The 23,162-nt window shown below is 34.9% G+C and overlaps 1 protein-coding gene across 1 annotated transcript in view, besides 1 other annotated feature; it reads right to left on the reverse strand.

Annotated features, from left to right (window-relative positions):
* The window catches only part of AQR (aquarius intron-binding spliceosomal factor), a 117,961-nt gene that overhangs the window by 17,776 nt on the left and 77,023 nt on the right, over window positions 1–23,162 (reverse strand). Inside the window, exons 24-31 of the mRNA NM_014691.3 lie at window positions 20,658–20,767; window positions 16,969–17,104; window positions 14,968–15,177; window positions 12,945–13,082; window positions 6,378–6,449; window positions 5,120–5,307; window positions 4,271–4,442; window positions 1,195–1,365 (exon numbers count right to left, since the gene is read on the reverse strand). Coding sequence (NP_055506.1) covers window positions 1,195–1,365; window positions 4,271–4,442; window positions 5,120–5,307; window positions 6,378–6,449; window positions 12,945–13,082; window positions 14,968–15,177; window positions 16,969–17,104; window positions 20,658–20,767 — 1,197 coding nt within the window. The remainder of the gene's footprint in view (window positions 1–1,194; window positions 1,366–4,270; window positions 4,443–5,119; window positions 5,308–6,377; window positions 6,450–12,944; window positions 13,083–14,967; window positions 15,178–16,968; window positions 17,105–20,657; window positions 20,768–23,162) is intronic.
* Window positions 4,595–5,794: an enhancer, noted in NCBI's record as "MED14-independent group 3 enhancer chr15:35166353-35167552 (GRCh37/hg19 assembly coordinates)". NCBI's record gives its function as "activates an origin of replication core promoter dependent on BRD2, BRD4, P300/CBP and CDK7 cofactors, and independent of MED14, by STARR-seq in HCT116 cells {active_cell/tissue: HCT116}" and the evidence as "EXISTENCE:reporter gene assay evidence [ECO:0000049][PMID:35650434]".

Raw genomic sequence — 23,162 nt, forward strand, 5'->3', positions numbered from 1 at the left:
TTGTTATGAGAGAAAGTAACTTTCCTTATTATTTGAGTAAGATTTTCTGTAAAAGGACTCAAATATTGAGGTCCTTCTATTTCTAAACTTGCAAAATTATTAGTTTCTCAGTTTCACTCTATTCCTTATGAAGTATTCTGTGCAGTGTCTATTCTTCCCTGTATTCCTTTTGATTTTGTTTTCATTCCTCTGATTTTATTTTCTTCCAGCTTACATTTCATCTCTTTCTGAGTTCTTACATTTCTCTGCTTTGTAGCTTTTCCTCAAAGATATGGTTACTTCATTAAGTATTTCCCAATTTACAGCAAAATGTATATTTGAAAATTTCATCTTTTCCAGGCCAACATGGTTTCTGGAGCATGTATCCTATCTATGTTTTGCTGTTCTTCATTTTTTCCTATAAATTGAGCTTGTGCTAGTTCCCTTTATACTATTCATCACTGAATAAGTAAGTTTCTTAGATTAGCTATGTGGGAGACATGAAGATGGGGTGAGCAAGGCTGTTTTCTGAAGGCTGGACGGTTTTCATAACAAAAGGCCCTCTTTTCTTCTGCTACTGCACAGATAGTCTATAAAAATAGTTTGTCCCCTCTTTTTCTCATTTTCCTGTTACATTTGCATAATTTCCAAAAAAGGTGAGCTTTTACATAGCCATGTTCATAGCCAAAGTCCTAATTTTATCATTAGTATTATCTTTATGTTTTTTCTAATGTATTCTACCCTTCATTAATGAAAGAATCATCATTTTATTTGATATTATGCATTTTTGATTACATAAAAAATATATATATTTTTAAAATCCCAAGGTCTGAATACATTTTACAATCTTCCCTTATTCCCAAGACAACCTCCCCCTATACACAATAAAAAGCAGTCTAAATTATACCCCTGCAAAGCAAAACATACTCCTTGTAACAGTACACATATTATAATGTAATTTTGTTATATATCATTTTATGAACAAAAAGTTTCAGAAACATTTCTTTTACCATCAATAAATATCTTTTATGTGGTAGCTGAGATAGAAAGTCACATCAAACCAGCAAGACTGTCAGAGAGTTATTTATAGTTCCCATTATTTCATTTTCTCAAATATCTTAAAAAGAGATAGCAAAGAGGCAAAGCAGAACAATATAAACCTTTCCATCTTGCCAAAATGATGAATAAGAGAACATATTATAATTATAAAAGTACCTTGTTTGGTCTTCCAATCAATGGATTGTTTCCACATCGTCTATTGATGATGTCGCGAATAAGATGCTTTTGGCCATTATATGTTGTTAGAATACTGATTTTGTCAGCAGGGTAACCAAGTAAACACATGTACATAAAAAGTGCTACTACATATTCTGCCTCTCCAAGATTCTGTAATGCAAACATAATCAGACTGTGCATTCATTTGCTTTTGTTTCAATTTTATAGAGAAAATATCTCATCTAGATAAGCAAAACTTGTTCACTTTGCACACTGCAAGAAGTGAAGACTTAGTAACTTGGATAAGTGAGTACCTTTCATAAAACTGAGGGATAATTTTATGCTACATTAACAGTGATAAATACAAACTTTTAATTTGCAATACATGGAACAATCCTAAAATAAAACTTACCAACTTAAAGGCTTAATATTCCTAAGACCATAACAATCACAATATAGATTAATACTATTCTGGCCAGGCATGGTAGCTCACATCTGTAATCCCAGCACTTGGGGAGGCCAAGGCAGACAGATCACTTGAGTCCAGGAGTTTGAGACCAGCCTGGACAACATGGTGAAACCCTGTCTCTACTAAAAATACAAAAATTAGCTGGGCATGGTGGTGCATGCCTATAGTCTCAGCTACTCTGGAGACTGAGGTGGGGGGATCGCTTAAGCTTGGGAGGCAGAGGTTGTGGCGAGCTTCAATCGTGCCTCTGCACTCCAGCCTGGTGACAAAGTGAGATCTCATCTCCAAAAAAAAAAAAAAAAAAAATTCTATACAATGTGCCACAACTGTAGTTACACAGACACAAAACTATAAAGGAACAAAGTAACTAAGAAGCCAATACAATACCCAGTTTAATAGCAAATACACCTAGCAGTATTATAATTGACTCAATTTTTGCACAGTGCTTTTCCTCCTTCCTCATGTTTCTTAATGTTTTTTGTATGCTTTGTTTCTGTTCTCTGCGTAATGGTTGTCACTTCTACTAGATCACTTTAGGTGGGATGAGGATGTGACCGCAAATTGGTCAGTCTGGTTTACTGTTAAATTACAGACTAGAAAGGAGCTTAAAACTAAGGCTTATTCAACTTAAAGGTGAGGAACCACACACAAAGCTCTTTGGTCCAGTTCAGTAGAGACTAAATCCAAAGTACTAGATGAAAGAAGAAAGTAAAATAAGAATATAAACACAATATTTAAAAAAAAAAAAAAAGGAAGCTGGATTTCATGCAAAGGCAACCGAAAGATTACTGGAAGACTTCTAAAAATATCATTTATATTCTGGTTCTTTGTGACGCACAGCTTGAGTTACAAGTTCATTTAAGTTTTCTAGTTCTTTAACACTGCCCAATTTGGTACTTTGCCCAAAGGTTAGACATGAAGCATTAACAATAAAACAACATGAACTGTATTGTGACCAAACATTTTAGAACTCGCTCCAAATGAGTCAAGTCCCCTTCAAATTAGTGACTTTTATTCATTTATCCACCTAGTCTTTCCCTCTCGACACTAATTCTTCAAATGTTATCACTTAAATGCATAGTATTCTTATTTTGGGGGACAGTGTTTTCAACTCTCCAGAAATATATTTAATAGTGGCAAATCATCATCTGAAAATATATTTATTTCTTGAATCGCTAAAAACTCATCTAGAGTTAGGCTTAATGAATAAGAAAAACAGGTAACCAATCTGGATAAAAATGTTTCAATCAATACTACAGTATGACTCAGGCAATGAAACTGACTCAAAGAAGAAATTCCAAAAAACCAATATGTAATGAAAACATCAGTTGATTACTGATAGAATAATTAATTTCTAAGGTGGCTATTAGGAAACATCACTGATTTGAACTAGGTTCTAATATTTTTAAAGTTATCATTTAAAGGTCACATCTGTTCTCAGGCATTAAGTACACAAATAGAGTAACTTGATTTAATATAACCAAATATTTGGAGGGACAATAAGATCTGCATGAGTTACATCTATGCATACACATTTAAGCTGATGATAAATGATGCTTTTTCATGAATAACTCAAGATCTCTAATTTGTATAACAACCTATATTGGATATTTTGCTGTAAAGAGAGAGAGAAAAAAAGAAAAAAATTAAAATAACCCCAAATGCTACCAACCAAAGACTATATTTTGATGTATATGCTGCCAGGTCATTTTGTATAGATTATCTGTATGTATTTCTATATGTATGTATTGCAGCTCCTTTTTAAAATGAGATACTGTAGATATACTTTGCAACTTTTTTCCACTTAATATAGCATAAACATTCTTCCTGTTAGTAAATACAATGTTATCATTCTTAGTGGCTATCTAGTATTTCTTTTATATGGAATATGTAATAATGCAATTAATCCCTACTGACAGATATTTGGGTTGTTTCTCATTTCCAGAATAATTTGCAGTGATGAACATGAAGCATACAAGTCTTTCCAAACTTGCCCAATTATTTTTTTAGGATAAATTCCTAGATGTGAGAACATTGCTTTTCATACATGCTGACAATTTGTCCACCAAATTATTTTCCTACTAGCATTGTATGAGAATAAAGTTTCCCCAAACCTATCCCAACACTGAGCATTGTTATAGAAGTGAAAATGTAATTCAGTGATTTATACTTGTTATAAAATATGAATTGCATATTCATATTTTCCTGTTAGTCTTGATTTTTTAAAACAATTTATGAGTTCTATAAATATATTCAGAATTCAACTTGTTTGTTAAATATTGAAATAAATTTTAAATACTGAAAATAAATCTTTTCTCCAATCGCTATTTTTCTTTATGATTTCTGCTTTTGTAACAAGCTTAGGAAGACCTTTCTCACTCCAACACTGTATATTCATTAATATTTTCTTCTAGTAGTTTCTAGTTTGTTTAGTTTCTTTAGTGCATGTATTTTTAATCAATCTGAAATCGATTTTTCATATGCTATGTGTAAGGTGGGGTTCCAACTTTCCTTTTCTCAACGGCCAAATGGTTAAGTATCACTGATTTAGGCATATGTCAGCCAGCAAATGCAAAATAAACTTATAAGCTTCCTATTTTTTCTTACCTGATAGAAGTAAGGATTAGGTTCAGATTCTCCCACTCCTTGAAAATCTTCAACATTAATGAGCTGGAAGTCATACAGTAAGCCAGCATTTGCTGTACTAAACTCTGGCAAGAGCTGCACATGGGGTAAGTTTCCTAGATTCTTGTATCGCCAGTTGTAGAGGTTGCACAAGCTTTCCAAAGACAAATTCCCCCACAAACAGAAAATATTAGCAGTGTAAAATCTCTTTTAATATACATAAGGAGGTTTCTGTTTCTGTGCTTCTTTTAAATTTTCATGTTAGCCATTTTGGCTCATCTTTTAAGCAATAATGCTCTTTCAACCTTAGCTTCCCTACTTCAAGTAACCAAGGGTCAGAAGACTGAAGGTACTACAAAAATGAGAGTTCTATTACGCTCTCTGAGGTCAATGCTATCTTTATCCCTTAAATTAAAAAATCAAGGAAGACTAAAAATTGAGGACATTTGGGGGTAACTATGAGATGGGGCCTGCATCCTTTATGAAGTAAGAATTGGTGTGTTCTCCTCTTGTTCACTTTATTTTTAGATTTTAAAATTATATTAACTGTATATCTTTTGGGGACATGAAGAAAGGAGAAGGGACAATGAAAAGAAGCCTTTAGATTATAAGTTACTTAAATTAATATTAATGAATGAAATGAAGGAAATAAATTATTTGGTCCATTCACATCTCTTGCAGAAGTCGACAAAAGTGCTTTTGGATTTATGGATAGCCAAGTTCCTGGATAGCCAAGAATGCTAATAGTCTACACAAAAGCTATTCACAAATACTTGGATCATGGAACAAATGTCCTTAAATGGGAATGATTTTTTTTCCTGTCTCTTTTACCTTGCTCTGGCTCTCCCTTGAGCATCAAGGTCAACAGTCGGAACTCCAACGCGAACAAAGCGAGTGAAGAGAGACTGCTCCATGTTTGAGTACTTTTGAAAGGCCATGTTCTTAATAACTGGAGGTAACTGGTGATGATCGCCAATCATAATCCATCGTTTTAGTCGGCTAAATCCATCCTGAGGATTCTAGAAATGAAAAGTAAGGAAATGGCAAAATACTCTATTATCCTCTTGTCTCCAATTTATTACCCGAGAGACTCAGTCTTCATCAAACAGCTTCCTTATCTTACAAATTACCAAACTTTACCAGCTCCACAAACAGGAGTCTAGCAAATTTACAGAACAATTTGTGAACCAATTATGGACGTTATTGCTCCTGGGTGACAGTGGGTGAGGGAGAATGGAGGTATTTAGAAGGCAAGCATGGAATTACCCTACTTTAATAGGCAGGGTAATCCAAAGAAGGCTGGAAGGATTAGGTCAGGCATTAGGTAACGAGCACACAGAAAGAAACAGAAGCCCAAGAAGAGAAATGGAAAGATGCGAAATAAACATGTTTCACAATTAGCTGAGGACCAATTCTGAACCCACCAAAGCAGTAAAAACTACCTTCTTTAATTATCTACACTACTACTTCAATTTCCTACTCTATATGTCTCCTAGTTCCTTGAAACATATCCTGATAGAATACATTCCAAGTTCCAAGTAGCTTCACTTATAAAAACAACTTCTGGAACTCAATTTATCTGCATATTAGAGTGGTCTCTATCCTTAAGTTGGGAATTCCACATTTTGTTTTTAATGCTTCAATAGTAAAGAATATTTTACAGTAAAAAAATTCTTAAATAGCACAATTTAGCTCAAAAACTTAGGCATAAAGAAAAGCAATGCACTCAGTGAAAATGAAAAAAATAATTCTACAAACAATTATAACAAAAGAAATGAAGAAACAGCTCATCTTCCCACCAAACTGCACAACAATGTAATTTTCTTGATTAAAATTACTAAATCTTTTCAAAACTACAGAAATAGACTATGAAATTTTAAATAGTACTTCTCGAAGCAAAACAACTACTAAATAGCCAGTGAATAGATTCAAGAAAGTTTACAGGCTTAAAATAGAATACCAAACATAATGAAGTTAAGGAAAATACATAACTATGGCAATCAGCACACCCAAACTGTACAACTTTCTGATGCTGTCCTCAGCATTCTTAGAACTCTATTTTCTTTGCCTCAGATCTTATATTTCTTACCTGTAGAAGAAGAGGGATAAAAGTTTCTATCTCCAGAATCTGAGCAGCCTCTTCCATCAAAATGTTGTCATACTAAGAAAGAGGAAATCTTGTCATAAAGACAGCTTAAAAGTCAAACAACTACCATCATAAACATAATCATCAAAAAAACCCCAAATAATTTCTGATAAAAACGACATACAAATTATTCAGACAGATAAAAATAACAACATACACATTATTCAAACAGAAACTTCATGGTCTTACTTATCATTATGCCTCTGCATTTCCAATTCAAGTATTTGACTTCAGGAAAGCCGCCTAAATATACAACTTTACATTGAAAAGATCTTGTATATCATTTCTTGAATTGCAATGCCAGTTTGGTTCTTTTCAATTTAGTTCTTTATTTCTACATCAGAAAGCATCAATTTATAATTATATATGAAGTCTTTCCCTTTGGTACTCTTACTCTGGTAGCATTTTGGGATAATTTTTTTTCCTATATGAATCCTACCCATCACAACAATTCACTTCAGTCTCACCCCTGGGCATTCAATCCATCACCAGAGCATGTCAATTTTACCTTCAAAACTCTTGAGTCTATTCATTTTTCTTTATTTCTACCAGCACTACCACTCTAAAAATCCAAGCCACCACTATGACTACGGATAGCAAACTCCTTACTAGTTCCTCCTCTTCCTGTCTTGACTCCTCTAAGGCACTTATACAACTCCTTATTTCAAATCCTTCACACCACTGTTTAAGTGAAAAAAATCCCTCAATATTGCCAGCAAGGATGTATTTACCAAGAACCTATATTCAATCTAGTCCCTGACTTCCTCTTGTACTTTATCTTTCTCCTTACTCACTAAGCTTCAACCACAATGACCCATTTCAGTTTGTTGGAAATGGCAAAACCTTCCCTGCCTCAGGCCCTTTGCACATGCTATTCTCTTCACTTTTAGTCTAGTTGGTTCTTTCTCATCCTTAAAATATCAGCTTAAAAGCCACTTTATCTAGGCCTTCTGTGACTTCCCAATCTAAAACTGATCTCAAAGTACTGAAGTACTGTTCTTTTGTCTTCCAGACCTACACAATTTGTAATTATATCTGTATATTTACTTGTTTAATGTATCTTTTCCGTAGCCCAGTTCCCAGTAATGTTAGGTATTACACATTTGTAAAAGAATGAAAAATCAAGTCTTTCTAAAACATGAGAAAATTTCATTCCTTCTTCGATAATTACTACTGTTCTATCTGTCCAATTCTCATTTAGATCTATTATCAATATGTTTTATCTTTCCTATTCACATCTAATTCTGATCGCTACTTAGTATGACATCTTGTTTTGGTACAATACCTTCTTCTTGAATCTAAGTACACATTAGAGTTCTGTTGCTTTCTGTTTTTAAAGATTTCTCCCATTATTTTATTTTCCAGGGAGGTGGGAGATGGGGAGAGCATATTTACTCTGAATGTTTGATTAACTCTCCTCTTTTAAAGTTATGGTTCAATCCTGGACTGTTATTGAAACTACTTGAAGGTGTAGGCATTTCCCTATTATAATGATTAGGTCATTTTTGTGGGAGCTGAACAGAAGGAGGAATTCAAACTCTCACATTTTCTAAGAAGTCCCTGTGTAGACTCTCAAGATAACAGGTATAATATGCAAAACAGAGTGGGGGCAACTCAAAAGGAGATAGCTTAAAAAGACCGCTTTCTGAAAATCAATTCTGAAAATATAATGCAATTTTACTTATAAAAACATATTTACAGATTTTGTTTTTTAAAATACAGATTTTAATTCCAAAGCAAAATTATCACTACTTTAGCTACTTGCTCCATGTATTTATTAGTCAGATCATTCATTCAACCCTTACTAATCTCTACCAACATATTACATGTTGGGTTGGCACTTGATGCTGCAGGCCAGGGACCAGGCTAGGAGCTAGTCTTTGTGAACTTTCAAAGGATTCCTAAATTCTACAGCCACCGTTACCAGTTCCACGGTTCTTTAATGGATTATAGCTGCTAGGATAGGGTCAGGGTGGTGTAGGAGTAAGGGCACAACAGACTTTAAATTCTTAGAAAACCATGTTTTAATACTAGCTCTGTAACTGATTACCTGCGACTCTAAGGTAATATCTCTCTTGAGTCACCCTTTCTCAACTATAAAATGGAGGTATCTTGTGGTGCAGTGGCTCACAGCTGTAATCCCAGAACTCTGGGAGGCCAAGGCAGGTGGATCCCTTGAGCTCAGGAGTTCAAGACCAGCCTGGTCAACATGGTGAAACCCCGTCTTTACTAAAAATACAGTAAGTTGGTTGGGTGTGGTGGCACGTGCCTGTAATCCCAGCTACTCGGGAGGCTGAGGCACTAGAAGTGTTTGAACCCAAGAGGCAGAGGTTGCAGTGAGCCGAGATCACGCCATTGCACTCCAGCCTGGGAAAAAGAATGAGACTCTGTCTCAAAAAAAAAAAAAAAAAAAAAAAAAGGAGATAGCTCATAAAAAGATCTAGTTGTGAAGAAGAGAAATAAATCATTGTAAACATAGAATTTTGTACATTGTAAACACAGAACTTGGTACATAGCTGACGCTCAACAAATGATGATTATTATCATTGTTCATTTTTGTTATCATTCTGATACATTTCCTTCTACAATTTCTACAACTCAAAATGGGTTTAAGATGATCAACATTGAATTCATATTTCCTTTTACAATTTCTACAACTCAAAATGGGTTTAAGATGATCAACATTGAATTAATAATCCCTGAAAACAGACAAGCAAATTAGAATTAATATTTAACTTCGTGTTTGTAAAAAATTGGGGCTGGGTGCAGTTGCTCATGCCTGTAATCCCAGCACTTTGGGAGCCCGAGGCTGGATCACTTGAGGTCAGGAGTTTAAGACCAACCTGGCCAACATGGTAAAACACTGTCTCTACTAAAAATACAAAAATTAGCTGGGCCTGGTGGCGGGTGCCTGTAATCCCAGCTACTTGGGAGGCTGAGGCAGGAGAATCACTTGAACCCAGGAGGTGGAGGTTGAAGTGAGCTGAGATTGCGCCACTGCACTCTAGCCTGGGCAACAGAGCAAGGCTCTGTCTCAAAAAAAAAAAAAATAGGCTTCAACAAAATACAAATTGAAACAAGTGGTAGACTTCTGTTAAAAGGTGATGAACTGAACACATAATGATCACCACTATCTCTGGAAACCCCCTAAAATAACACTTGACATTATATAGTGAAATTGTATCCCAAAGAGTTAAAGAAACCAGCAACTAACAGAAATCCTTGAGTTTACAGGATGATAGATAAGAAAAGAAACAACTTGCTGCAAAGCTGAAACTTCCTTTGCTTCTAAGATAATAAAACTGGCTGAAACTGGCTGGAACCAATATAGCCAACTAGAGTGAGCGCAGAATGAGCTTGCTTACGTCACAACCCAAATTTCTACCATGTTTCATGTTATCTCCTCTAGAATCTACACATGCCATCCAAGAGGTAGCATGAAGAGAGAACTGCGCATGCTTGAAGATTTTCCAGACCCCTTTCCTTCCACCAATCGCTTACTAATCCCAGAATCCACCCCCTGTATATTTTCTAATAAAATTACTGCCTTAAAGCCAGCATGGGGACATAGATTTGAGCTTGACTATGTTCTTCTCATGAGTCAACTTGTAATAGGAGCTTTTTTTTCCCTCAAAAACCTGGTGTTAGAGTATTGGCTTCTAGTGCACTGAGCAGCGAGCCCCTTTTGCTTGGTAACAATAGGAATGGTTTAAAGAGGCAATTAGACTTCCCCACTTCAAGGAACCAAACGAAATGTCCCTTCTCTCTCACCCCCAATAGACAACAGGTTTAGTGTCTGGAGAGGATCTTGGAACTTGGAGAAAGCAGGCAGAGTTAAGAGGGTGGGATCAGAAATGAGCACCACACAGAAAGTGGGAATTATGTCAAAAGTCTGTGTACAAAACTGAATGTGGAGAAGTCTGGCTCTCTTTCTCCATCCATCTCCCACAACCCAGGGACCCAGGAAAGTAAGAGTCCTCTTTATCCCTTCGTATCCCTAAGACTTATCACTGAAATTTCAGAACTCTAGGGACAAAGAAAAGATTATAGGGCTTCCTGACAGAACAAAAATGTAAAACAAAATACATTTAAAATCACGGCTTTGGGCTTCTGAACAGCTACACTGGAAGACAGAGAAAACGGAACAATTCTTCAAAATTCTGAAGAAAAATTATTTCCAATCTAGAAATCTATACCTAGCCATAATAACTAAATGTGAGAGTAGATTAAAAACAGTTTTTGGACATGGAAAGTCTTAAAAATATTACCTCCTATGCATCCTTTCACATGAAAGATACGGGAGGATGTATTCTACTAAAATACAGAAGAGAAAGACACAGAATGCCCAAAACACAGAATCTGACATATGAGAAAGGCAAAGGCCTTTACAATGGATGCAATGTGAACTGAAATAGGTCAGGAGTATCTAGGAGAGAGATCTCCAAAAACATGTATGGGATGTGTCTAAATGTACTAAGAAAATATTTAAAAACTAAACACAGTTTTGGGTTGAATTGGTGGTAAAAACAGAAAACTAAACAAACAAAAAAGGCGAAAATCATTAATTCCAGAAAGAAAAAAAAATTGTGCATGAAAGGACAACTAATCATGGTATATTCCCCCTGCTTGGATGTGAAAGTGTTCATGTGTTAATAATGATGTAAACACCCCAAAGTGAGCAAACCAAAGTTACGACATAACTATATTGGGAGCATTAAGGAAGGAAAGGTGCACGCACACATGCATGAATGTGTGTCTATTTGTCCTTTGGGTGAGCACAGAATCAAAAGACAATGCCTAAAATGGAAATTTACCATTCTTGACTGATATAGATGAAAAGGACAAAATCTAAAAGAGTCGAAGGACTGGATAAATGGGACGGATGAGCAGAGTGGGGGACTGCCTTTTTTTGTTAAGTGGACCTACAAGGTTTTTAAAACTCTTAAGTGTGATAAAAATAAAACTTCAAAATCAAAAATATAGAAAACCTATTAGCACTCATGCTAACTACCCGTTGACGTGTAGCATGATTTAAATGTAGAAAATGACTACTGAAAGTTTGATAAGTAGTATTCTTTAGAACACAGGCAAAAGCTCCATGAAAGCAAAAAATGTTAATTATGGTTGCATTATTTTCCCTTGTTATTAAGCTATGATTTAATATCAAAGTATATTTTATATGTCAGCCCCAAGAACAAAACATTTAGGTGAAAAATTCTCACTAATAATTTGCAAAAGGGTAAGTTCACACCACTGGGGTACATTCACACTACCTTTTAATAAATTGTCGTATTTGTCCTACCTTGCAGCTGAGGAACCTTGCATCCAAGATAACAATTTCATCACCTTGAATTTATTTAGCGCCTATCTTTCAGTGAGCTCACAACATTTTAAAATTGTCAGTTACTTTAATCAACAAGTGAATTACTAATTTTTAATTCAAACCCATATACAGAACTCTGTTTTAAACAACAGACAAACCAGTTGCAGGAAAGTTAAATGACTGTATTAAAATCTAAGTTCAGATCAGTATCACTAGCAAAGTCACAAAAAATTTGCAAATTCAAATTTACTGCTCAATCATTACTTTCCACTTCAAGTGAGTCACAGATTAACAGGTTATTTTGTACTCCTGTTTTTATCATATGATGAAACCATTTTAATATCTCATTTTGCAGTCTAAGAGTATTCCATATCCTCATATGAAAGGCTTTTCATTTGCTAAGTACACAAATAACTGGAATGGTTGTATGTTTAATATGTGAATAATCTAAGCATACAGATGTCTAATAGATGAAAACCACTTTGTTTTTTTTTGTTTGATTTTGTTTTGAGATAGAGTCTCACTCTGTTGCCCAGGCTGGAGGGCAGGGGCACAATCTCGGCTCACTGCAACCTCTGCCTCCTGAGTTCAAGTGATTCTCCTGCCTCAGCCTCCCAAGGAGCTGGGATTACAGGCGTATACCACCATGCTCAGCTAGTTTTTGTATTTTTAATAGAGACGGGGTTTCACCATGCTGGCCAGGCTGGTCTCAAACTCCTGACCTCAAGTGATCTGCCCACCTTGGCCTCCTAAAGTGCTGGGATTACAGGCATGAGCCACCACACCTGGCTGAAAACCATTTTGAAATGTTCTTTTTATAGCTTTTACTTCTGTTTGGAGATATTTTTATTATTACTATTTTTTTAATTAGGTGAATTTTAGGCTTTTTTCATAAGCTTTATTTGGAGATTTTTAAATAAGTGATACTCAGTAAAAATAAAACTTTAACAAGTATGAGAATTTGGTCAGACAACCATATGGTTATAACATTACCTAATGGACATATTACTAACAACTAGATTTAGAAAAATTAGATTCAGAGTTCACTAATCATGTAAACAAGGGATATTATCATCCACTTATAAAAGAAACATTTTAAGGTAATTATAAATACGAACTTCATAAGAAGTGAGCCAATCTCTGATAATCTTAAAAAAAAAAAAAAAAAAACTACCATAAGTCTTTACCTTGAAACCTAGCTTGACCAAGTCATGTCGTTTTAAGGCAGCATGAGTACAGGTCATAGCAATAATTTTGGCTTCTTTCACTAAAAGGTATTTAGATCTGTCCAGTCCACTTCGAAGCAATTCAGAGGCTCTGAATTCCTATGGAAACGAGGAGCAATGAAAGATAATTTTAGGAAAACGGAGTTTTGCACATAACCATACAATCCAGTCAGACTTAATTCCTGAGAAATTAACATAAATATATTATAAACTAAGCCTAATGAATTATAATTCTGTTCATTATGATTTCGGTACTAATTGAGTTTAAATAATAGCTGATATAAAAGTTATAATTCAAACTTTTTTGTATGTAACGTAAAATATGTACTATATAAACAAGAATACTGAATAAAATTCAGTGATCATTGTACCTGTATTACTCAACGTCCCTCCAGGAAAATAGAAATGATTTCAGGTATTCATATCAAAGGAAATTTTAGCAAGAAACTGGTTATATAAGTGATAGAGGAACTATAAAGGTAATGTAACATAGAAATTAGAGACAGCAGCAGTCACTATCATCCCTAGACTAGAAAGAATAAAGGTAGGAAGTGGTATTATCAGAGCCCAGGGACTGTAGTCACACAAAAAAGCTGGAACCACAAGTTTTTCCAGCAGAAACTGGAATCATGAAAGAGATGAAACCCAAGGCAGAGGGAACTGATGAAGAAATACCTTGGCACTCTCTCATCGGCTATACTAAGCAAGAAGTCAGCTGACATAGGAAGCTGGGAAATTAAACCTGCAAGGATAAGCCAGAACATCAACCATGGCAGAGGATCCCCAACAGAGCAGAAAAGAGTATGGAAAAACAAAAAACATTTGTTTTTTAAATAATTAAAATATTACACATATAGGTGAGGTACCCTGTATAACCTTCTGCCTACTCCCTCCCAAGGCAGCTATTATTATGAATTGAGTATGTTTTTATCCTTTTACTTTGTGTTTATGTAACCATAAACATAATACATTTATTATTCTGTACCTACCATCCATCCACTCAACCATATACATTTCAATATTTACTGAACATATACTACATATCTGATACTGTTCTAGGAAGTAGGTATGTAATCACATCTAAAAGATACAAAGACAAGAAACAATGTCCCTGACCTTTCTACCTGAAAGTGTAATCCTAAATTTTCTTACTGAGGAGTCTGAGCCTGAATATGATCCCTTTATAGGACCGCTGTAATTTTTCAATGATGTTTGCTATCTATTTTTGCAATGATGATTCTGCAATGATGTGGCAAAAACTAGGAGACATATCCAGGGGGCACTGGGTTCCAGACATATTCTCTGTTCCCATTGTGTAGCTATGACTCATTTCACTTTAATAATCAGAATCAATCATCCTGGCTACTACAGCAACCCCACTATTTTACTGATCAAGAGGCATACAGGACTTAGAATGGCCACATGGCAGTCTCAAATTCCAGTTCAAAGAACCATTATTGAATTTCTTGACGGAAGCATTCCTTTCTCAAAAATACTAAGACCTTTACATCAGGAAAGCCAGAATAAGGATCCAATTTATATCTTACTTAAAATTAATCTAATTTCTAAGATTTGAATATTTTGGGCCGGGTGTGGTGGCTCACACCTGTAATCTCAGCACTTTGGGAGGCAGAGGCGAGCAGATAACTTGAGGTCAGGAGTTCGAGACCAGCCTGGCCAACATGGTGAAACCCTGTCTCTACTAAAAATACAAAAATTAGCTGGGCATGGTGGTGTGCACCTGTAATCCCAGCTGCTCGGAAGCTGAGGCAGGAGAATCGCCTGAACCTGGGAGGTGGAGGTTGCAGTGAGCCAAGATCATGCCACTGCACTCCAGCCTGGGCAACAGGGCAAGACTCCGTCTCAAAAAAAAACAAAAAAACAAAAAAACAAAAGATTTGAATATTTCACATTTACTTCAAAAAAAAACTAAACTAAATTAAAAACCACTAAAGGGAAGTTCAAAGAACTTGAGAATCCTTACCTCAAGCTGCGTAAAGATTTTCTTAATATGCCTGAAACATCCTTCAGCAATTTCCATGTCTTCTTCATAAGATCTTCCTTTAAAAATGGGTTGAGGAGCATTTGCAAAGTATTCATGGAAAGGGAAGAAAGTGGAGACTTCCGTAACATCTGGCAATGTACTACCTTTATTTTTCACTTTGCTGATATACTCTTCCCAGCGAGACATTACCTGTAGAAAAAAGGACTTGAAGTTAACTGCCAGCTAATTATGATGTTTTAAAGCATAAAATGAATAAATCTTATAAAAACAAGATCTGCTAGGTGAAAAAGAAAAAAAAAGAAATTCAATCTTTGATCCAATATAACTATTCTTCATTCCTGTAACTGACAGATTGCTCTTCTGTTATAAAAGTAACCTTGTCTTTGGAGAAAAAAAGGCTCTTTAATAACAAATTTCTACAAACTGGAAAGAGCCTTAACATCATCTCATAGAACTCTAACTCCGACAGTTCAGATTCTCCACGTAACTCAAGAGAGTTTATTATTAACGCTTAAAAGAAATGTAAAGGAAAGAAAGCTCTCTGGACAAAGAAATTGCTCATTTTTTTCATCTCTGTTTCTCTCCATATATGGTAAGTTCAGCTTTAGCAGCTTTTTAATCAATTTGGCACTTGTCAACCCTCTGTCAGTTTTTTAGAACATTTATAAAGAACGTCTGGTTAAGCTGAGTGTGTATTTGAAAGCTTATCTTATGACTTTTGTGATTATAGTTCAATTACTTTGTATAATGTTAGCTATGCGTCTACCAGCCAGTTACTATGTAACCTCAATTTCTGTAACTCTCCCAGGTCTTTTTCTGTTACTATCTCAGTGTTTCTCAAAAGTGTAGTCCTTATGCAAAATATCTGAGGAGCTAAATAAAAATGTGGATTCCTGGATTCCACCTCTATTGAATGAGAAGCTATAGGAACAAGGGCTAGGGAATTTAACTCGTAAACAACTTTCCTGATATGATTCTTAAATGTTGAAAACTGCCAATTTACACTGTGAAGCCTCAAGTTCATTCTTCCCAAATTTATTACATAAACCTTCTTAATTTATAGGTTATTTTTCCCACTTTTAAACATTATTTTCACTGAAAGCCAAGTAATTTTGTGTCAAAAAAGCATTTAAGCTGATCTTTACTCCTTTATGCAAGTCCTAAACAGTCTTGAATCTAATGTAGACTATATTATGTATTTTCCCTGCTTCACAAGAAACCATGAAAGCTGCTCATTTTGAATGGACTTAATTGGTTTGTGATATCCACTTACAATGAGCTTACAATATTATAATTTATATCTAAAATATACAATTGGCATTAGAACAAAGAGAACAAATGAAGTTATACAAAAATCTTCATTAGCCAATTATGTCCTAGTCCATTTAAAATTATTAATAATCCAACTGACTATTAAAGTTTAGTTTTATTCACTTTATTTGGCTATTTCTCATTGGTTTTCACACTTCCAAAATTTACCCTAACAAAAGTAAAAGTACATCTTTATGTTGAAGTCAGAAGCCTTTAACTTCAAGACCCACTGTGCAATTAGTTGTAAGACATAATTTATTTCTGGAAATTTGAAGGAAGAATGTTTTCCTTCATTAGTTGATTAATGTATACAATAAAAGTTAACTGTACTTTGTTGCCACTGGCTAGCTAGAATATTTATTTAGTTGTATTTCTACAGTAAAAAAAGAAAAAAGAGTGACTAGAACTTTGCCAATAGAAAGAAAAAAATGTAAAAAGTAGCAACATTGGTCTTTCACAGAATGAGTCATCAAGCAAAGTTATTTAGAAAAGAAAACTGAAGATAATACAAAATACACTTAACATTCATAAATATAGCACTTGCAATACCATACATTCTAATCTACTCAAAAAAATAAGCTTTCATGAAGGATCACAAGAACTCATTCCAGCTTCCAACTGGGGTTCATATTATGATGAAGTATGATTCAAAAACCCTTAATATCTTACCTGGTATAAGAAGAAATAGCCTGCAGTTTCACAGGTATATGAGGCATCTCCTGGAACCCCTAGACTCTTTTGCAATCGTTTGACTTCTTCTAAAAGTTCTATTCTTCGAGCCAGAACATAATTAACTCTTCCATACCTAGACATTTCAATTAGGCAAAATGACAAAACTGTAATAAAGAGACTTTGAAGGAAACAATCAGCAAAATTCAAGAAAATCATAATAGCAAAGAAGAGGAAAAAAAACTAGAAGATATGGCTTCTATTTAACTATTGGTGGTAGTTCTTGGGTTACTTTACACAAAAGCTACTTAAAGTAGGTGGGTCACGGTGGTTCACGCCTGTAATCCCAACACTTCGGGGAGGCTGAGGCGGACAGATCATGAGGTTAGGAGATCGAGACCATCATGGCTAACATGGTGAAACCCTGTCTCTACTAAAAATACAAAAAAATTAGCCGGGCATGGTGGCGGGCACCTGTAGTCCCAGCTACTTGGGAGGCCGAGGCAAGAGAATGGCGTGAACCTGGGAGGCGGAGCTTGCAGTGAGCAGAGATGGCGCCACTGCACTCCAGCCTGGGCGACAAAGCAAGACTCCGTCTCAAAAAAAAAAAAGAAAAAGCTACTTAGAGTATACTCCATGGAACAGTATTGATCTGCAAGGGTGTTACTGGTCTAGGAGGAGGGAAAGTCAACTACATCACCAAATACACCATTTAGTTCAGCTCTCAATCTTTCTTTTCACAGCAAGACACTTTCACAAAGAAGAAAGCAGGACAGTGCATTCTGGTGCTAGTTCATTTCATCACAGACCAAGAACATGTAAGTTCACAAACTGGCTGCTTCAAACAGCACTGTTTTACACTACATAAAAGTAGATTAGATCTAAAGGCTTTGAAAAGTAATTTTTAAATGTTTTTGATTATCTCTGTCATCTACATATCCCAATACATAACTTGGCACCCAAACCTAGCAGGTTCTTAATGTTTGCTGAATCAGTAAGAAAACTGAAGTTTGGAGAGTACCTTGTCCGAAAACACACAGTTAGGGAAGAAAGTAGTGGAACCAGAATTAGATCCCAAATTCTATGCACATTCTTTTCACAACACCACAACAACAAAGGGTCTCCCATAACCCTTTAATGCTTAAAATAAGACTAAAATAATTTAATCAATCACTGTTGTTCCCATGTTTAAAGACTCAACAAAAGAAGAAGTCATGTTCCTAGCTGTCTGTAGTTCAGAGATTCACATTTGAGGTAGCAAGGGATGATTAAGAACAAAAAAGAGATCTAAAACATGATCTATGCTTGAAGAATTTTTCAACTTGGAAGGATATAAACATATGGCAGATAACTTTTTTCTGCTTGCTTATCTATAAACTTTTATCTACAATGAACACTTCGTTAATGAGAAAAAAATCAGGAATGCTTACAGACTCTGTTAATAAAATGCCAAAATTTTTGTGAAGTAATGTTAAACTTAAAAAGCAACAGGCCGGGCACGGTGGCTCACGCCTGTAATCCCAGCACTTTGGGAGGCCGAGGCAGGCAGATCACTTGAGGTCAGGAGTTCAAGACTAGCCTGGCCAACATGGCAAAACCCCGTCTCTACTAAAAATACAAACATTAGCCAGGTGTGGTGGTGGGCGCCTGTAATCCCAGCTACTCAGGAGGCTGAGGCATGAGAATCCCTTGAACCCAGGAGACAGAGTTTACAGTGAACCGAGATCATACCACTACACTCCAGCCTGGGTGACAGAGTGAGACTCTGTCCCAATAAATAAATAAATAAATAAATAAAAGCAATATACAGTACAATTAAACTCTACTATCTGCTCAATTAGTACATTATTACACTTAAAAGATAAAGAATTATTTTTAAAAAGCAACATAAGGCTGGGCGCGGTGGCACACGCCTGTAATCCTAGCACTTTGGGAGGCCAAGATGGATTGCCTGAGCTCAGGAGTTCAAGACCAGCCTGGGCAACATGGTGAAACCCCGTCTCTACTAAAATACAAAAAAAATCAGCCAGGCTTGGTGGTGGGTACCTGTAATCCCAGCTACTCACGAGACTGAGGCAGGAGAATTGCTTGAACCCAGGAAGCGGAGGTTGCAGTGAGCTGAGACGGTGCCACTGCACTCCAGCCTGGGCAACAAAGTGAAACTCTGTCTCAAAAAAACAAAAAAAGCAACATAAAAATTACAAATAACAGCATTACAGAAAAAGACTAGCAAAAAGTTGTTTTAGGATAGTGTAATTATGGATAACCACTCCTTCTCTACAACTTCACCAGATTTTACAATTTTTTTCTTCAGAGAAAGTGATGCTACTTTTATTGTGAAACAATAGTCATAATTTTTCTTTTTAATTGTAAGAGAAAAAGAATATGTCCAATCAAATATGCAAACTAACAATATCTAGGTTATGTGTCAGAATTTAAAAGTACATTTTTTCTAACAAATTTGGTGGTACCTGAAATCATTGTAAAAATTCTACCCCTATTCTAATATTCTTTAAAAACCATAAATTCGACTTCAATATAATTGTAATTATAGTCAAATATTCTATTAGCACCTTCATGTTCACTGAATTCTGAATTATTAGATTTTAGAGTCTAACCTACCTTTGTAAGTTGGCTTTAAAATGAGGAAATACCTATGGGATGAATTCAAAAGTATTACTGGCTAATCTGAAATTAAGAATATAGAGCCCTAAATAACTTATGGCATGTTGTTCTTTGCCCCTCTGCAACATAGTGACTTTTTAGAAGCTAAGTGTTTGGTAAGCTCTATAATACAAGAACTCAAAATAGATGCACATAATAATTTAAAACTCTTTTAATGTCTATGATCAATTCATCAAATATCATGTTTAATAGCCAAAGGCTACATTAAATATGTCCAGCTGTTAATTGTGCTTATTATCTAAAATTGGGCTTTAAAAATGGATTTAAATATAAATAAAATGAGACATTATAAAGCAACTTTGAATGAAAAAAATTAAAATACTAATGGCAGAAGAAATCCGACTTGTAAAGTTTTAGTCAATTTACAGTATGTGATATCAAACAAAGTCCAGCCAAACTGGCAAGAAGCATCTGAAGTTATACTTATAACCCCAAAGCTTATATTATCATTAATCACTAATTTGCATTCTTTTTTTTTTGAGACAGAGTCTTGCTCTGTCGCCAGGCTGGAATGCAATGGCGCAATCTTGGCTCACTGCAACCTCTGCCTCCCGGGTTACAGCGATTCTCCTGCGTCAGCCTCCCGTAATTTCTATTTCAATAAATAAATCAACCTCCTAATTGGCACCTAAAATATATGCAAATTAAATTCCTGAATAAGATGTGAAAAAGGAATCATTTAAAGTTGTACAGTTTTGAACTGGCAGCATGAAAAATTACCTCAATAAATAGAAAGCAAAAGGCAATCTGTTAAAAAGATTAACAAGATCATTCTCTTCATTAACATAATTGTATATTTGAAGACAAAATGGCATAACCATACACAACTGGAACTGAGGGACATCATGACCATATTTCTAGCTCAACATATAGTCTTAGTAAGTTAAGTTAGAACCTTTCAGAATTAAGTTTCAGTATTCATTGCTTTCTTCTTCTTTAATAAAAGAAATGAAAAGAAAATAAAAAATCCTTTTTTACACTGTTACTCACTCCCATTTGCTCACCTGCTGAAATCTTTCTCTGTCTCCAGCTCTTCTTCTCCATGACCAAGACGCAGTAGGTGGCGCTCATCAATGTCTAATGCCATGATTTTCTCAAACAACTGGTTTAGGGCCTAGACAATAAAGCAAGAAGGGTGACGGCACCTTTAAACGTAGCAAAAACTAACATTTAGAAAGAATCAAAGTTGAAACACAGAAGGAAATCAGCCTTATATTAGGCCATTTATAATTTAATCAAATAGTATTTATATTGATTTCTGATATTGCCATCTATGTCTATTTGGCTGTATGGATAACTAGAAACCATAAAACCACCCACCTATTAAACATCTGCTTTTAATTTATGAAACGAGAAAGGCATTGGCTCAGATGCTATTTCTTCCGAGTTGTAACAACTCCTAAAATAAACAACCACACTGAGTTTCATTTCATTCAACAGCATTTCCTTGGGTTACAGAGAACTGAAAAAGTTTTTGCAGTTGGAGAAAGACAATAAGAAGGCAGTGAGTGTGTTGGTAGAATACATTAAGAGGACCAGAAGGTGGAAACATAAATTGCATCTTTCAAATCTTAGTCTGAAAGTCTAATGTTCTCAATATAATAAAGAGCAGAGCACTCATTTATTGCAAACTATTCTGATGAAAGTCATTTAAAAGTCACTACTTTCTATCTGTGAAATGTTCATAATTAGGGTTCCCTCGAATCCTAGTATTCATTATCTGAACTTCCGCAGTTACAAGGTTTTACAGAAAGGCAAAAGTTTCATAGTATGGAAAGACTCACTAATTAAGGTACTATTTAAAAATAAGCCGCCATTCAAACATCTCACTTTCACTAGTCCAACCCTGCCTGTGAAGTCAGCATCCAGTCTTATAAACACCTAGGTTATATAATGTAGATACAGATATCCTTTACCATCAAAATTCTAGCAATCTGAGCTCTGAAACTGAAGAGATTTAACATAAATTTTCAGAAAAATCCCCCACTATCCAAACTCTTGATACTCATCATCCAAAACTCAGTACCCAACAGAGCAGATTACATGGTGTTACTCACTATCCAAACCTTCACTATTCAAACTCAAGAACCACATAGATTGAATAAAAGTAAAAACAAAAAACAAAACCCCCACAAACTTGCACACTATAATCCCAGAAAAAACTACATGATTTCATTGTGAATTACAGTGATTTTGAAGAACTACTTGAATTATACATGCAAATGAAGATCTGGCAAACAAAACAGTTAACTGAAGGAAAACAATCAATTCGATGGGCATCAAGGGAAATGATTTGAATTTCAAAAAACCAAGGCAGGTGTTTAGCAAGCAGTGAATTATGTGTCTATTTTTGCAAATTAATCTTTTCAATGATTGTGCTATACAAATCAATCATAAAGTAGAGGATAACTGTAGAAAGCCATATCAAGGTATGACAAAACAGTAAAAAATATGTTAAAACAACACATGAATTATTCTGTTCATTTTAAGAATTTACAATAGGTTTTTACAGAACAAATTTTATAAACAGAAGAAAAAAACTTCTTTTCATAATTTGTTTCTTTTATCAAGACAAAGTCCAAATTGATCCCCCTTCAACTCCCACAAATTCAGTATATTAGATGCATTATGTCCAATATGTTATGTAATATGTTATTATATAATTATGTATAACATATATTCAGTATATTGGATAAGTTTACTATTTATAAACTTCAAAATATATAAAAATATGTCAGGCAAATGAACTGAAGAGTATTATTTTTAAAACTTTACAAATTAAAAGTTAATGATCACCAGAGTAACTGATATTTGGCATTCCAAAAACACAGTGCTTCTGTATATACCAACTCAAAGACTGGTCAACTGAAGTCACCACTGTTAACATAAACTCCGAGAAAAAACTTTCAGAGGTTTTGACTACCATGCAAATTTCATAATATGCTTCAGGATGTTCTCAGAGTTGCCTGTCTCATTTTATACCAGATCTAATAAATGTTACTTGTTCTTCCCTCATTTCTGACAGCTTCAGAATGACTAAAGTAGAATACAGTCCCTTCATGTAATACAGGTGTACATTTCACATGGATTTGAAATTTAATCCAGTATCAATGCACTTTAGACCTTAGTCTTTCAGGAATATTCATTCTACTAAATGAAGAAAAATGCTCCCAGTAAGGGTTAATGCTTATAATCTCCAAGTAAAAGTTCTAGTTTAGTGTAGAAGGAAAAAATAGCAATTTAATTTAATCCAAATATCTAACCATATATCCAAATAGTCTTAGCTTTTTCACATTGACCCTCTCCAGTAGAAATAAAAGATTGCTTTTATATATCTCTCAATGTCATCTCATTATAAGCAGTGATAATCCAAGAGTAGCTCAATAGCAGATACTCCTCAACTTACAATGGGGTTACATTCCAATAAATCTATCATAAGTTGAAAATATCCTAAGTTGAAAACACATTTAACACACCTAACCTACTGAACACCATAGCTTAGCCTAGCC

The sequence above is a fragment of the Homo sapiens genome, chromosome 15 (genome assembly GCF_000001405.40).
Source record: "Homo sapiens chromosome 15, GRCh38.p14 Primary Assembly".
NCBI classification, from domain to species: domain Eukaryota; kingdom Metazoa; phylum Chordata; class Mammalia; order Primates; family Hominidae; genus Homo; species Homo sapiens.